At 33.0% G+C, this 14904-nt stretch overlaps 1 protein-coding gene across 12 annotated transcripts in view; it reads left to right on the top strand.

Annotated features, from left to right (window-relative positions):
- Positions 1-14904, top strand: part of DPH6 (diphthamine biosynthesis 6) — a 401189-nt gene that overhangs the window by 22837 nt on the left and 363448 nt on the right. Inside the window, exon 4 of one of the 12 annotated variants that reach the window (NM_001141972.2) lies at positions 1051-4337. The exons of the other annotated variants lie outside the window; for them this stretch is intronic. Within the exon in view, the coding sequence (NP_001135444.1) occupies positions 1051-1236 (186 nt within the window). The 3' untranslated portion in view covers positions 1237-4337. Of the gene's footprint in view, positions 1-1050; positions 4338-14904 lie in introns of those variants that run through there. 12 annotated transcript variants of the gene reach the window in all.

Raw genomic sequence — 14904 nt, 5'->3', positions numbered from 1 at the left:
GTCTCCAAATAGAGATAATGGGCTAAGGATATGAACAGGCATTTCACAGAGAAGTACATTCAAATGACCAAAAAAAAAAAAAAAAAAAGAATGTGTAACTTCACTAACTCAAAAATGCAGCTACACTTTGACAGAAATAAGAAATAATAATGGTTTTGAAGAAACAGATACCCTTATGTACTGCTAGCAGCCCTGTAAATTGGTTCAATATTTCTGGACGGTAATTTGGCAAAACTCATCAAACACAAAAAAATACACTCCTGTAATAAGCAATTCCACTTTGGGGAATTTATAACTAAGGAAATAATTTAAAATATACTTGAAAATTTAGAAATCATTGGCAATGTAAATTATGACATATCTATACAGTGGGATGCTGTATAGCATTAAAAATGAACTTGCAGAAATACATCTGTATATATTTTTAAGAGAAGGAAACAGATTAGGGAATGCTCTGTATGGTATAATAACATTTTTCTACAATGCATTTGTGTAAGTACATGCATAGAAAAATTATCTGTAGGATATATTTTAAGTCTGTGGGCAGAATTAAGAGTATAATTTTTGCACATTTAATTTTTCGGTGTTTTTCTCTAATGAGGATATATTGCTTTTGAAGCTTCCTTGTTGAAGATTTGGCATCTACTTAAAAATGCACTGAATGGTATTGGGGGAAAGGAAATCTTTCCTATTGATTATCAAATCAACAGGATGTCAGCCATTCCCCAGGTCCTTTTTGAAGGTTCATGAGGAGCCTGTTTTTCTTTCAGGGTTGGTTCTTGAAAGCTTGTATGTGAGAGATTTTATTATTTTATTTTATTTTACTTAATTTTTTTGCTGTGACAAATGTCTGTTGTTTTCTAAACAAGAAAGCCAGTGTCCCAGTTAGGTGCATTGAGTTATTTTCATTCACTTGCAGTCCTGTTGTATTAATACTGAATAAGCAGAGACAGCCTGACTGGTGGTGAAAGATGGTAATCCAGCCTCAGGGCTTTTTCTGGTCAATCCTAAACCTCTGATTGCCACGTTTTCCTAATTTCCCATTTCCAGGGCATCACTAGAATGACCTTGCTTGCTGAATATGATGCTCTGAATCTCCAAGATTTTCACATGCATTTGAAAGTGGGCAGCCAGGCGATTGTTTACAGGACTCCAAATGAACTGTGCACTCACAGCAAGTTTGATAAACACACATTTCCTCCTTTTATCAGTGAGATTGCAAAATGTGAAGTATGAGTTTCCAGTTTTACTGATTCCCCTCAACCCTTTTCCTGTTTAAAAACTTAGACATACTAATTGGATGCTGATCTGTCCCTGTTTTTCATTCTGCTTGCTGGTAGTTGACGGCTTAGTTTAGTACTTACCTAGGCAAGATTTGGCAAACCTTCAAAAATGAACTTTCCATGTATTCAACTTAAAGGAGATTCATCCCAAGGAATGTAATGTGAACACTAATTAACATTAATGACTGCTAATCACTTTGCTTTTTATACTCCTTTAGGAGCACTGCTATTATCCAATGTAGTTAAGTAAAATGCTTGTATATGAATCAACAATGTTGCATCCTTTTAGCAGCTATTGCTCACAATCAAGCTTTGCATAAATTAAAGTTGACTAAAATTGATTTTAATATGCTGCTCTTCTTCAATAGTAAACTAAAATATCTAGTTAAATATCCTGCATATTAAAAATACATTGCCTGATTTTTTTTGTAGTCATCCTGTGGTAGATGAAAAGCAATATTGCAAATACATTTTCTCACAGTTCATGACACTTTCTCTTAGATTTCTTCAAAATTGAACACAACTCTTCATAGTCCTATCAGCACTTTGATTCTGTTGTAAGCATTAATTTTGTTAGATCAATGAAAAGCAATCAGCCTATGTTTAATTTTTCTGAATTTGTTCATTTACTTCCTAGAGGATCTTACAGATTCTTTAGATGATATAGTCTATTTATATAAAGTTGGTTCATAGGATTGTACATTCAACATTCATTAAAAAAGGTTGTTTATTATGTTTAGTGAATTACAGGACCATTATAAAAGCTTTCTGTTTATTTACATGCATTCAATGTACCTGTGACTAGAACTGCCTTGCCTTAGGAGGAAACTAAGCAAAACCCATAAATTAATAATTTAAGGGAGCAATACTCAAGTAGCATTTCAGTTAAAAAGTAAAGCCTCAGAGTCAGTACTAGCCACTTTAGCATTGCTTTACTTTTTGACTTTTATTGGCTGAAAATAACTTGTTAAACTGGAGCTTTTGTAATAAAATGAAATCTACATACCATCTAAAGCCCCTTCCCCTCCTTTTGATTTATGAGTAGGTTGACATATTACTGGAGAATTTGTAACACTTTCACAGTTCTGCACTTTGATTTCAGAGAAGGTGCTAATCTCTCTGGAATTTTGAGAGTGACAAAATGAGTTGTATACTGTTTTTCCAGGGAATTTGGGTTCCTTTATTAGAGGCCTTAGTTTTATTATGGTACCTGTATTAATGTGGATTTATCCAATATGTGATATGGTGGTATGATTAGATATACATTAATGGAGGATTTTTTTTTCATTGTACATATTCTACTTGGTTTGATCATATTATAATTCTCACAGCTAATGTCCATGTTTCTACAGAGGTTCAGCAATTCAGGATATTATTTTCAAATTACCAAAATGAGATAATTTAACTCCCTTTTACTTTTGCATTATTTTTAGTGGAAAAAAATTAAATGGTAGTATTATAAGAAGCTTTATGCTGTGTATGCTAGTCTTATTGTATATATGTACTGAAAGTACCTTTGACACTGTACTTAATTGGATTTAATTTCAAAGAATTGTAACAGGAATTATGTGAGAGAATAGAAAATATATGGAACTTAATTAAGTGCTGTCCATATGTAAAGGTAAGATTCATGACTATTGTTTGATGTAACTTATTTATTTTACATCCTGATACTGTTGTATAATAGCACAAAATGCATGTCTATGAGGAAAAACTTGCTTTTTCTATTTTACTTTGAGTTTTTATGTGTAATAAAATTATGCTTAAAATAGGCGAGGATTTCAGTTTTGATTCTTCTTCTTTTGTTTTTTTTTTGTTTTTTTTTGTAGCATGTTTACTTTCACGTGAGAGTGATTGATCTGTAGCTGTCATTTTATCCAAGAAGGGACAAATGGAATTGGTCTTTTAGACAAAAGTATGCAAACAGACTGCATTCTTTCTGTTGATAGAATTATGGAAGAATTGCATGAGGTGCCACATTCAGTTGCCTATTGATTGTAAAGAGGATTCTGCAGTGGGGTGCTGTTTCCAATGGATAAGGAGGTGCTATGATTACTTACCTTTCTCATGAAAGCACTACAAAGGGAAATGCAAAATGTGTGCAGTGCAGTCTTCTCTATTTGACAGTTGTTTTTGTTAAGTTTTTTCCCCCATTGAAGTCCAGCCTGTTTTAGAAAAACATACATTTTAGTTCTTTCCCCTTTATATCAGGCTTAGTAGATTTCCATGCATTTGACCCTTTAGAGAAATTACATGTTATAGACAGTTTTCTTTTTCTCAGCCTCTATTGTAAAGCTTCAAAGCTGATGCAACAGTGCCCTCTATAGTCTTTTAGTGAACATTAGACAGATGTAGATGATTTCAAATGTTCAGGTAAGAAACAGGACATTTAAATTTAATTTTTGTTCAAACAAGAGACCCCTTTTTCCTAAGTAGACATTCTTGTTTTTCACTAGTGGCTTTACTTTAAACAAAGAGAACAAAAGACCATTCTGAGTTTTCATTTAGAATTATTGGCTGCTTCTTCTTTTTATCCCTTGGTAAATCTCAAGTTTTATCAGACGTTCATCAGAGTAATTTGAGAAAGATGGAATCTTACAGGCTGTACTGTCTGTTCATGAAATATCTTTTTGAAGTTGAACTCTGATAGGAGTATTTTTTAAAAATAATTTAGTTCCTTTGTACTTGTTTTTTCTATTTAATTAGAATCTGAGTGGGCTGCCTAAAATTTGACTTCTATTTATTCCTGAATTGTGAAACCCAGTCGTTATACATGACATTATTTAAATTCAAACCAAGGGAGTTACACAATGACTAAAGTGTTTGTCATTCATTAGCATTGATTTAAATTTTAGATTTCCTTTTTCTCTTTTTGGTTACCTTTTTGATTGTATATATTGATAGCTAAGTTTTTCATTGTAAAATGCAACTAGATGTGAAGTTATGGATAATAAAAGCAGGAATCATATTTAGATATGATTAGAAGAGAAAAATGTTATGGATTAAGTTTATTTTGCTTCTGAAAGTGTTTTAATAAAAAGATCACGGGCCCAAGTCCTGGTTTCTTCATGTATTCACTATGTAATATTGAACACGTCTTAACCCCTGCAGCTGCTTTCTCTTCTATAAAATGGGAGTAAAAACACCTTATCCTTTGATGTTTTTGTGAGGTATTAGAGATAATATATTTAAGTTGGCCAGGTCATTAGAGATGCTCAAATGGTAACTTTATTTCCAAAACCACAGTGGGAAAGTAAATGGCTTTTATCTGAGGAAGTTTTTAATATAGAATCTAGAACACATTTAATGCACTTTGGATTTTAAAAGTCCTATCTGGCAATTTCTGGATTTATGTGAATCTGAAAGTTGGGATAGCATTTCTTGGTAATGTGAACTAACATAATGAGATGTGCATTCAGTCTCAACTCCCTACACACCTCATTCCCAAACTTTTAAAATAAGCTGTCTTTGGAATCTTTATTTTAGTAGAAATTTACCCACAAACCAGTATTTAGCAATGTGTGAAAACTGATGATAAAACTCAAAAAAACAAAACAAAACAGGAGTTTAAAATTTTTCCCCTTTAGTGTATCTGAAAATACTTAGGATACTTTTTCAATTATCTGGGTTCTTAGTAATAATAGTCTAGAGCCCTTATTTGTGTTTTCTAGCTATACAGCTTTTGTTTTCTCCACCAGCTACGAAGAAGACTGGTGTGTAAAATAGATGAAAATGGAGCTTTTTTGGTTGAAATGGAGATGGGGACCTAGAGTCCCTCTCTTTCAAAGCAACAGAGTTTAAAAGCCACTTGGTCCTTACAGTTTATGTACGTGTGTGTACATACACTCCTTTTGTGTAAGGGCTTTGTCTTACTTTGGTTTGAATTCATAGTGCCTAATTCTGTACCTGGCACATAAAAGATGTTCAGTTAATGTGTGCTGAATACAGAATTCTTTGAACACCAGGCCTTCCCTTACTGATTTCAAACACCTCATGCATAAAAGTGCAACTTTATGAAGCCATCTAATAGTAAAGTAATTGTTTCTCTGTGAACCAATTAAAACAAACATACTTCTGGCATAATTCATCAATTTAATTTTTTTAAAGTAAAACATTGTTTTAATTACAAATAATTATAGGAAATGAATAAGAAGTATTCGGAATGTGTCTTCAGTATAATTAAAAGCTGTTATATACCACAATGATTGGTTTAGATTCAGACACTTCAAATGACCTGATGATAAAAAATAATCTTACACAATGAACTTTGGAATTGAATGTTCTCAATATTCAGTAAATTGTTGTTTTTCTTGTAAAGTTCTTATTTATGTTTTGTATTGCTTTTGAGTAATCTTGAATGTAATATTATAATAAACCACCTATTGTTTTTTGTATATCACTTGGGTTAAAACTGAGAACTGTGAAAGTATCTTTTTATCACTATAAAGAAGGAACCAATGTTTTAAGCTGATAAAATGAAAAGGTACAAATTCTCAATAACCAAATATGGTAGTTCCTCTTAAAATAATGACCAGTTACAGTAAGAAATATGTTTAAAATTACATTCTGGCTTACAAGACTGACAAGATGCTGTCTACCAAAGAAAAAAATTGAATAAGGTATTTTTTCTTTGCAATGAGAGTACCAAACTAAGAATCCACTTAATTAAAATAGTGATAAATGTAGATTACATTACCGAAGACAGTGAAATACAGCTGCTCTATCTACTGAGAGCCTGCATAATTTACCAAGACTGTACAAAGAAGCAAGGGAGCAGCCACTGCAGACTGTTCAGGAAGCATCCTGTTTATTCTACATACATTTCTTTTTTTAATTAAAATGTCAATGATAATTTTATTAGCAGTCCTCCAAAAAAAATTCTTCTTTAAATTTTTCCAAGGTGGTAGAATATGAGATGAGATCATTACTGCTGCTGAATGAAACAGATTAAACCTGAAAAAAATAGCAAGCTATTATATTTTATTAATTCTGTTTTCTTTATTATGAGTTGATATTGAAGTATGTGATGATGTATGTATATTTTTTCATGTGAGTCTTGCATGAAAGAAATGTGTGGCAAAATCCTTGAATAATATACATTAAAAAAAATCTTTTGGAACCACAAGCAAAATTTGGGAGGAGTCAGTAGTAGTACTGCTTACAAATAAAGGTGTAGGTATGTATGCTCTGGAATTCTTAAAGTGAGGCAGACACCTCCTAGGAGTATATTAGAATCAGCTCCATGCTATTTCCTCTTCATCTCCATCACTGAGTTGTGATTAGGGTTACTATGTGGCATGTGAGTGAGTGAGACCAAAAAAATGATTGCCTGGAGACCAAAAAAGTGGTTGAAAATCTGTTACACTGTATGTTTTTATCCTTTAATGATGATCAATGATATGTTCATAATTAAATAGAGTTTAGAAAACCAATATTGTGTTTACCAAGAAATGTTGGTGGGTTTTTTGCCTTTGAGGGATAAGTGGGGACTCTAGGGTTTGACTCCGCTTTGTTCTAGGTTCCACTGCATGGTATGATCTTAGTTTAGTTAACTTCTCTATACCTTGGCTTTCATATTTGTAAAGTAAGACTAGTAGTAGTACGTACAACATAGGGTCATTATGAGCATTTAATGGGATAATCCATGTAGAATAGATCATATAGGAAGCATCAATAAATATTAACTATTACATACTTACTTGTCACTAGAAAAACACTTTCTCTTTCATTGGGGCCATAGAGCATTGCTCATATTTAACTAACTTCATAAGATAATTGTTATCTGTCATGGTTTCTCTGTTGATCTGGTTCTTAGAGAATTTAGCTGTGCTCTTCTGTCTCTTTAGGGGTATTGTGTGGTGGAAATTCTACTACTCCTTGTTTTGTCTTTAATTGTGTTTCTTTTTAGTACTTAATGTATCAGCTGCTTTGGCAGTGATGAATATGATCTCAAAGTTTGTGCATTTCAGTATGTCTGCTTTGGGCTTTGCTTTCGCTTGATACGAGGTAAGAATTAATTAAATATTTTCCAGGGCTTAATTTTTCTAAAGGGTCTTTTGAGTGACCACCTATTAAAAACTTCTTAACTAGGAAAGTTTTGTGGGCACAAAACGGACGTATCACCAAGAATTTAAAAAGTTTGTATGAGAAAACAAGGTCTCACTTTGTTGTCCAGGCTGGAGTGCAGTGCTACAAGCATAATTCACTGCAGCCTCAAAATTCTGAGCTCAAACAATCTTCCGCCTTCAGCTTCTTGAGTAGCTGGAACTACAGGTGAGTGCCACCACAACCTGGCTAATTTTTTTTTTTTTTTTTTTTTTTTTCTGAGACGGAGTCTCGCTCTGACGCCCAGGCCAGAGTGTAGTGGCACGATCTTGGCTCACTGCAAGCTCTGCCTTCTGGGTTCACGCCATTCTCCCGCCTCAGCCTCCTGAGTAGCTGGGACTACAGGCGCCCGCCACCGTGCCCGGCTAATTTTTTATATTTTTAGTAGAGACGGGGTTTCACCATGTTAGCCATGATGGTCTTGATCTCCTGACCTTGTGATCCACCCACCTCGGCCTCCCAAAGTGCTGGGATTACAGGTGTGAGCCACCGCACCCGGCCTTAATTTTTGTAAAGATGGGCATCTTGTTGTGTTACCCAGGCTGGTCACGAACCTCTGGCCTCAAGGAGTCCTCCCACCCCAGCCACCCAAAGTTCTGGGATATAGGTATGACCCGCCATACCCAGCCCCTATGAACTTTTTCAGATGATTTTGTTCTATATGCTTTTTCCTTTGAGCGTCAGTAAAATGATGAATGAAAGAGAGGAAAAGAAGTCACATGCTATAATATATAACTATTATTTATAATGTTTACACATGCTGTGTAAGTTGTAGAATGTTAAGATACATTAGCTTTTTTTTTTTTTTAACCTTAGTGTGTTTCAGGCATTTTTCTAAGTGCTAAAGATGTAGCTGATTAAGGCAACAGATGTAGGTGATTAAAGCACAGTGTCTGTCTTAAAGACTTAACACTGAGTTTTAGGGCAGGAAGTTACTGCTATGTATTAGTCATAATTATTTTTGATGAATTCTTTGCTTTTCTAAAAATATTCCACATTCCCTATATTTTTCTTACTTGTTCATGACTTGGCATCTGCCCTTCTTTGTCTGGCCAGTATTACTAAGTTTCTCCAAAAAATGCTGTCTTTTTGAAGGCTCAGTATTGCTCTATCTGGGCCTGTTGGGGACTTATAATTCTTCACTTAGCTTATAATTTTGATTAATATCTTGAAATAATTTATCAGTTTATCAGTTCAGGGTTAGAATTTATAGGATTTTTTCAGAGATAAGTTTCTCTCCCCTGGTCTTCCCCAATAGAGGGCAGATAATTACATATAAACATAGTTTTTTTAGTGCTTCCACCACAAGTAACACTATATGGTATTTGCCATAGTGAAGTCGTATGATTCAGAACTAAAATTAAATCAAACTTCCAATTCAATGTATCCTGAGATCATGGATCAGAAACTATTTCCTCTTTTAAATTAATTGCTTTGGAAAGTGAGACATCCCTCCTTATTTAAGGAAGCATCATCTTATTTATCAGATATTCTTTAGGGCTATCATTGACTAGGTTCTGTCAAAGATTAGGTAACATTCCGTAAATTTTAATTTTAGGCTAATATCAAGGGACTTGTTTTCAGATGTTCTTGAGCATTTATACTTATGTAGAAATTTTGTCTTTAGCTTTAAATGGCTCCTTTATGCTATTTTGCGTAATACATCTTCTCAAACTGTTACTTGCAAATATTTTAAATAAAACAATGTTATATAATAGGTAAAACTAACTTTGTGAGGATTCTACATAGTTGTAAGATTTTATTTACATAGTTATAAGGTGCCAAATTTATATCGATGCTTTCTTCTTTATGGTTAATTGAGAATTACTGAGTCCCTACTATGTATGCAAATCACAGCTATTAGCTGGATTCCTGGTTTTATATAACAAATTTAGTGTGACTATAAAGTTTCCAACCCTTTACTCCATGTTGTTATTGACTTAGAATCAATTGATCAGTCAAGCAGTCTGAAATGGAAATGATTATGAAGCATTAGCAACCAAGAAAAAGACTTTTATGAAAATTTAAGGGAAAAATGTAAGTTATAAGTTACTTATTAACATAATAGCTAAAATATTGCTTTATAAAAAGATTTTTAGCTTGTCAATTATATATATATTCGAGTGTTATAATGTTCATTATCTGGACATCTTAAAGATATGCTTTAATTATGTTTGGGAAGAGAAAATAGTAGTCTCTGTATCTGTCAACTTTGTAGAAAACAAAGTTAGGATCTATAAAGTTTGTTTTGTTATGATTTGATAAAGTAACCAGTTTCTTTCCTTATAGTTAAGATTTGTAATAAGCCTCCTAAGACTAAGTGGTGTTGTAATTTATTTTCTTAAATTATTTACCGCAGTTATTTGATACTTTTGCATAGTAAAAATAACATTGGCATTAGATGATATCCTTTTTGCTTTCTAGTTACTATAATAGAGCTGACTTCTCTACATTATTTTATTTTAATTTTTGATGTTCATCTGTCTTCTACCTCTTAGAGAGTTGGCTCTTTCTTCTGGAACTGGGTTTTTAGTACTTCTCTTATAGGTGCACATGCTTCCTTTATTCAGTGGAATTGTATCTTTGTAACCTTACAGCGTACTCACCCATGTTCTTCCTGCCTTGTTTTTTATAGTCTAAATTCTTTGTTAATTTTCTTTGATACTTAGAAAAATTATGTTTTAAATTTAAAAAATACACGAAAGTATAAAAATATGAAGATGTTGCTCAAAATTCAACCATTTCAAGTTAACATTTTGATGTATTTTTATACATGCACATATATTTAATACACACATAGATGCACACACCTGTGTGTGGTATTGCTGTACTTTGTACATTGCTTTTTTTAAACTTAAAGTTATCAGAAACATTTTTCTATGCCGTGAAAATCTCTTCAGTAAGATAATTTAATGATTACTTAATATTCTATCATGTGCCTGTATAATAATTTTTTTAATGATTCTCTAATTTTGTAAATTAGGTAGAACCTAATTTTAACTGTAAATAATAGCACTTTGATGTGATCCATAAATTATTGTCTACATTTTAAAAAGTTAATTCCTTAGGATGCATTTCCAGATGCAGAATTAATGGATCAAAGTATATGATTATTTTTAAGGCCATTGAAACATATTGGCTAGTTGATTTCTATAAATAATACACCTGCTTCTGAATTCATTATTTATATTTTAAAATTCAAAGTCTTTTTTTAATGTATCTGAAACCTTGACTTGGAATTGTTTTTATAATTCCTGGCATTTCGTGAACTCAAGGTGGGAACAGCATTCTGCCCATCTTTTGACTGCATATTCTTCTTGGAACAAAACCAAAGAAATATATGTTAGGGCAATTCAGTCATGTAATACAAGGCATAAGGTGACTTTTTCCCCTTATTGTGAGAAGTCAGTTTCCAGGGATTTAAGGGGGCTAAAGTAGATCGATGACCAGTGGCCTCGTGTGCTAGATTTTAGTATACTTTATACTAAAAATGTGCCATGTGGATGAACACAGATATAGGTATAGACATTCATAGATGTTATTTTTTAAACAGTTACAGATGTAATGCTAATTTTAACTTTTTTTTTCTACTAGGTTCTGTTTTCCAACTAGCCACACTCTTCTGCTCCTGGCTATTAACTGACTTATTTTCTATTGGCATCATTAAGTTTGGCAACATTTAAAAATGATTTCTGATTTTCTGTGAGTAAATCAATGGTGGTAGAATATTGGCTTAGTAAAAGTAGTTTAATCATTTTGGGCATATTTTTTATATGAAACGTAAGATTTTAGGTATATTTCACTTTATGAAAATTATTACTGCAGGTTTAAACCACTACTTTATCCCATTAATATCCCATAGAAAATACTTTATGTTCACTAAATATCCCATAGAAAATACTTTATGCTTCCCCTTTTTTATGAACTTTTATTATTAATGTTGACAGTTTCTATTATGGCATTAAAAACAAAACAAAACTATAGTGCTACTATTTTAAACCTAGTTACTGGATTAAATATTATAATAGCTCATTTGTAAGAATAAAATAATGTTTATTTTGTGGTAATTATTACTAAATCATTATTTAGACTTTGCAAAATAATATATCACCATCTTGGAATTATGATACCTTTCTCTTTTGGTCATTTTAGTTTCTTAGACCTAATTCTCTCTATTTTTGTTTGTACTTTTGATGCAGTTAGGGAATATTTCCTTCTGTGACACTTTTTTTTTTAAATGATAATCTCTTGGTAGTTTCTTGTCAGTGATATGAAAACGCTGCTATTACACCGACTTGAGCATGGGGATAAGTAGGAGTGTGTGCAAGTGTTGTTGAGAGGAGTATCGCTGCTCTTTTCCAAGCTGCTGGGTTACTTTGTTTCTTCTACTTTTCAGCTATAAACACATGTACATATTCACACTATGTACAGTTTCATGGTTCCATTCTCCCCCTATTCTTTTTCCTCTCATTCGCATTCTACTTTTTTCCTCTCCTTTTTCTCTTTCATCTCACATGTGTGTATGTATGCACATACACATGTAAATGAATTTTCAGGTGTTAAAAACAAAGATTGCAGACAGAGATCTAGATCCAATTTAAACGCTTAAGTTAAATTTTCTCTTTTTTTCCCTCCTTCATTAGATTATGGTCATCTGTAATATTTATGTCTTTTTATGAGCACTGGTTGTTCTGTCCCTTCACTGTTTTATGTCTCTTGGTGAAGAATAAGCTGTGAAACCAGATAAACTCTTAGATTAGAAAGTCTTAAACTTGAATATGCAAACAGATCATTTGGGGATCTTATTAAAAATTCAGGTTCTGATATAGTTGGTCTGGATGGAGCCTGAGATTTTTCTAACAAGTACACAGGTGATGCTGAGGCCGCTGGTCTGAGGTTGCATTTTGAGTAGTCAGGTTTTAGACTCTGGTTTCTTGCAAAAGAGTATCATTTATTTAGAACAGGAATATTTGGGATTCAAAGTCAGTTTCTTCATACATTAGCTCTGAGTCCAGTATCCACAAGGATGGGACATATATTTTCTTTTAAAACCTAATTTGTCATGTTTCCTCACTTTTCTTTGATTTAGGCAATTTTAAGGCATAAGAGTTTAAAAGATTTGTGAGTTTGGGATCTTCTGTGATGGTCTCACATATAGCTTCCCTAATTTAGTTTGCTACTTAGTGTAGACTAATGATGACATGTATCAGGGTTTTTGGTGATTTAATTTCATGGTATATTATCTCCAAATGATGGTTGAAAAAATTTTCTGCTGGGAATTTTGGAGTTCAAGGTGAAGAGTGGGGAGTTGGGAGCAGGGATGGAGTACCCAGGATAAATCTGAGAAACAGGTTACTGCATCGAAATGCTTTTATCCTTCCTCATCCCTATGGTTACCACTAGAAGAATCATGGACAACTGAATTAAAATGAATTACTTATTCAATGTAGGAAAATTACCTGATACATATGCAGGAGTTGTTCCAGTTATGCTTTTAAATAAGATGTCTTTTATGTCTTTTAAATAAAGAAATCCATAATTTCCTATACAAAAATGGACAGAGCTTCCAGCAATAAAGATGTATGTCAGAACCTGCATAGTGATTAGAAGGTGGGCTGGTTTCAGAAAGGAGATGATACGACAAAGTTCTGCAGGCTGGCCCATTATTTGTAATACAATAGTCAAATGTGACCATCATCAAAACACCTGTTTTTTGTTTTTGTTTTTAGAGTCAGGATTTCCTTCTGTTACCTAGGCTGGAGTGTGGTGGCACCATCACAGTTCACTGCAGCCTCAACCTACTGAGCTCAGATCCTCCCACCACAGCATCCTGAGTAGCTGGTACTACAGGAACACGTAACCATTCCTAGCTAATTTTTTAATTTTTTGTAGAGACAGGGTCGTGCTATGTTGCTCAGGCTGGTCTCAAACTTGTGGCCTCAAGCAGTCCCCCTGCCTTGGCATCCCAAAGTGCTGGGACAATAGGGATGAGCCTCCATGCCCAGCTACCTGAATCTTTAAAGCTGGTAGTTGTAAAGTTTCTTGGTTTACAACATTGTTGAGGAAAAATGATTAAATTACCTAATGTGGCTGGTTCCTGAGGTAGCAAAAGAAGTCACATACTCCAAAGAAAGATAAGTAAGAAGGCTTTCCCCTTGCTTAAGCACTATGCTTGAAAATTAATTGTATTTTAATTTAGGACAAAAAAATATTAAGCATAGATTTTGTTTTTTCAAACCTTTTCAAACATTATTTTAAATCTAGGTACAACATTTAAGTTATATTTCCAATCTTATTTGTCTGTGTACTTTCAATAAATACAGATTGCCCTTTCTTTAGTCAGCCTACATTTAAAAAGCTTATGTTTTGCCATAATACAGTAGAATTATTTGTGATAATGTTACAAGTCTCTAAACTGCATGAACATTATCCTGCTGTTTTATTGTTTTATAATGTAAAAGTAAATGCAAGCATTAAGAAATGTGCAGTGCTGTCAGGCTCCTTCAGGATTTAAGAAAATTGCTCTAACTATTGAAGAACTGAAAATAATCTTTCAGGTCGCAAAGAGCAGTAGTTATAATATTGCCGAGCATTTTGCTTTCTTTTTTCTCTAACCATAGTGGTGATTTGAGTCAATGCTGAAGAAATTTAGGTTTTATTTTATTTCAACAAACTGCTCTTGCCTTGTAAGAATTACATATAAAACAGGATGGTTAAAAATGGGAAGAAAATAGAGGACTCATTCTTAACTCTTCCTAAGCCTAAATCATAAATCTGTTTCTTGTAATAGTAAAAATTGTATAGCACAGCTTTTTTATCTGACTTGTGAATTTGATATAATAGGCACAAATACTATGTGTTAATCACAAAACTGTGAAATTACATTGTGTAGCAAGCTCTTCATAAAAATGAAACAAACATACAAACAAAATCTGAAAGCCAAAGCCTTCCCTAAAAGTTCTAACATGGGGTTTTGAATTTTTAAAATGAAAGGAAGTAGATATTCCTTATGGTTTTTAGCCTTTTGTCCTATATGTTTAAAAATATTTCCATTTAAATGCAGATTTTGATTTTCCATCTGGGACTAGGTAGAAGCCATTCTGTTACACTACTAAAAGAATAATCTACTTTAACACAATATTTCTCCCTAAAGGGATGGTCTTTTCTAGTCATAAGGTATTATTTTTCTCAGAATGATATTAACATTCATGATTTAGCGATTTTATCTTGATTTGAAAGATGTTTTGTTCGGCAGTAAAAGGGATTAGGAGAATGTCATGTGTATCCTATTGCTAAAAAATAGCCCTACCTTGCTCAAGATTAGGTATTAGTAATTTTTAAAGTGTTTTGGGGTAGGCATATGATTTGTATTTTTATGATATAAAAAAAACTTTAAGCCCAGTGAAATGGAAATTGCCAGAGTCATTAAACATCAGGTTGTACAAATATGGTTTTTTGAATAGATGAAGTAGCATGTTGGAGAATTTCTGAACATGTTGTAACATGTTTTACATTC

Source organism: Homo sapiens, chromosome 15 (genome assembly GCF_000001405.40).
Source record: "Homo sapiens chromosome 15, GRCh38.p14 Primary Assembly".
Taxonomy (NCBI): Eukaryota; Metazoa; Chordata; class Mammalia; order Primates; family Hominidae; genus Homo; species Homo sapiens.
Note: the sequence above shows the minus strand (reverse complement) of the source record. Positions and strands in the feature narration are given on the sequence as shown.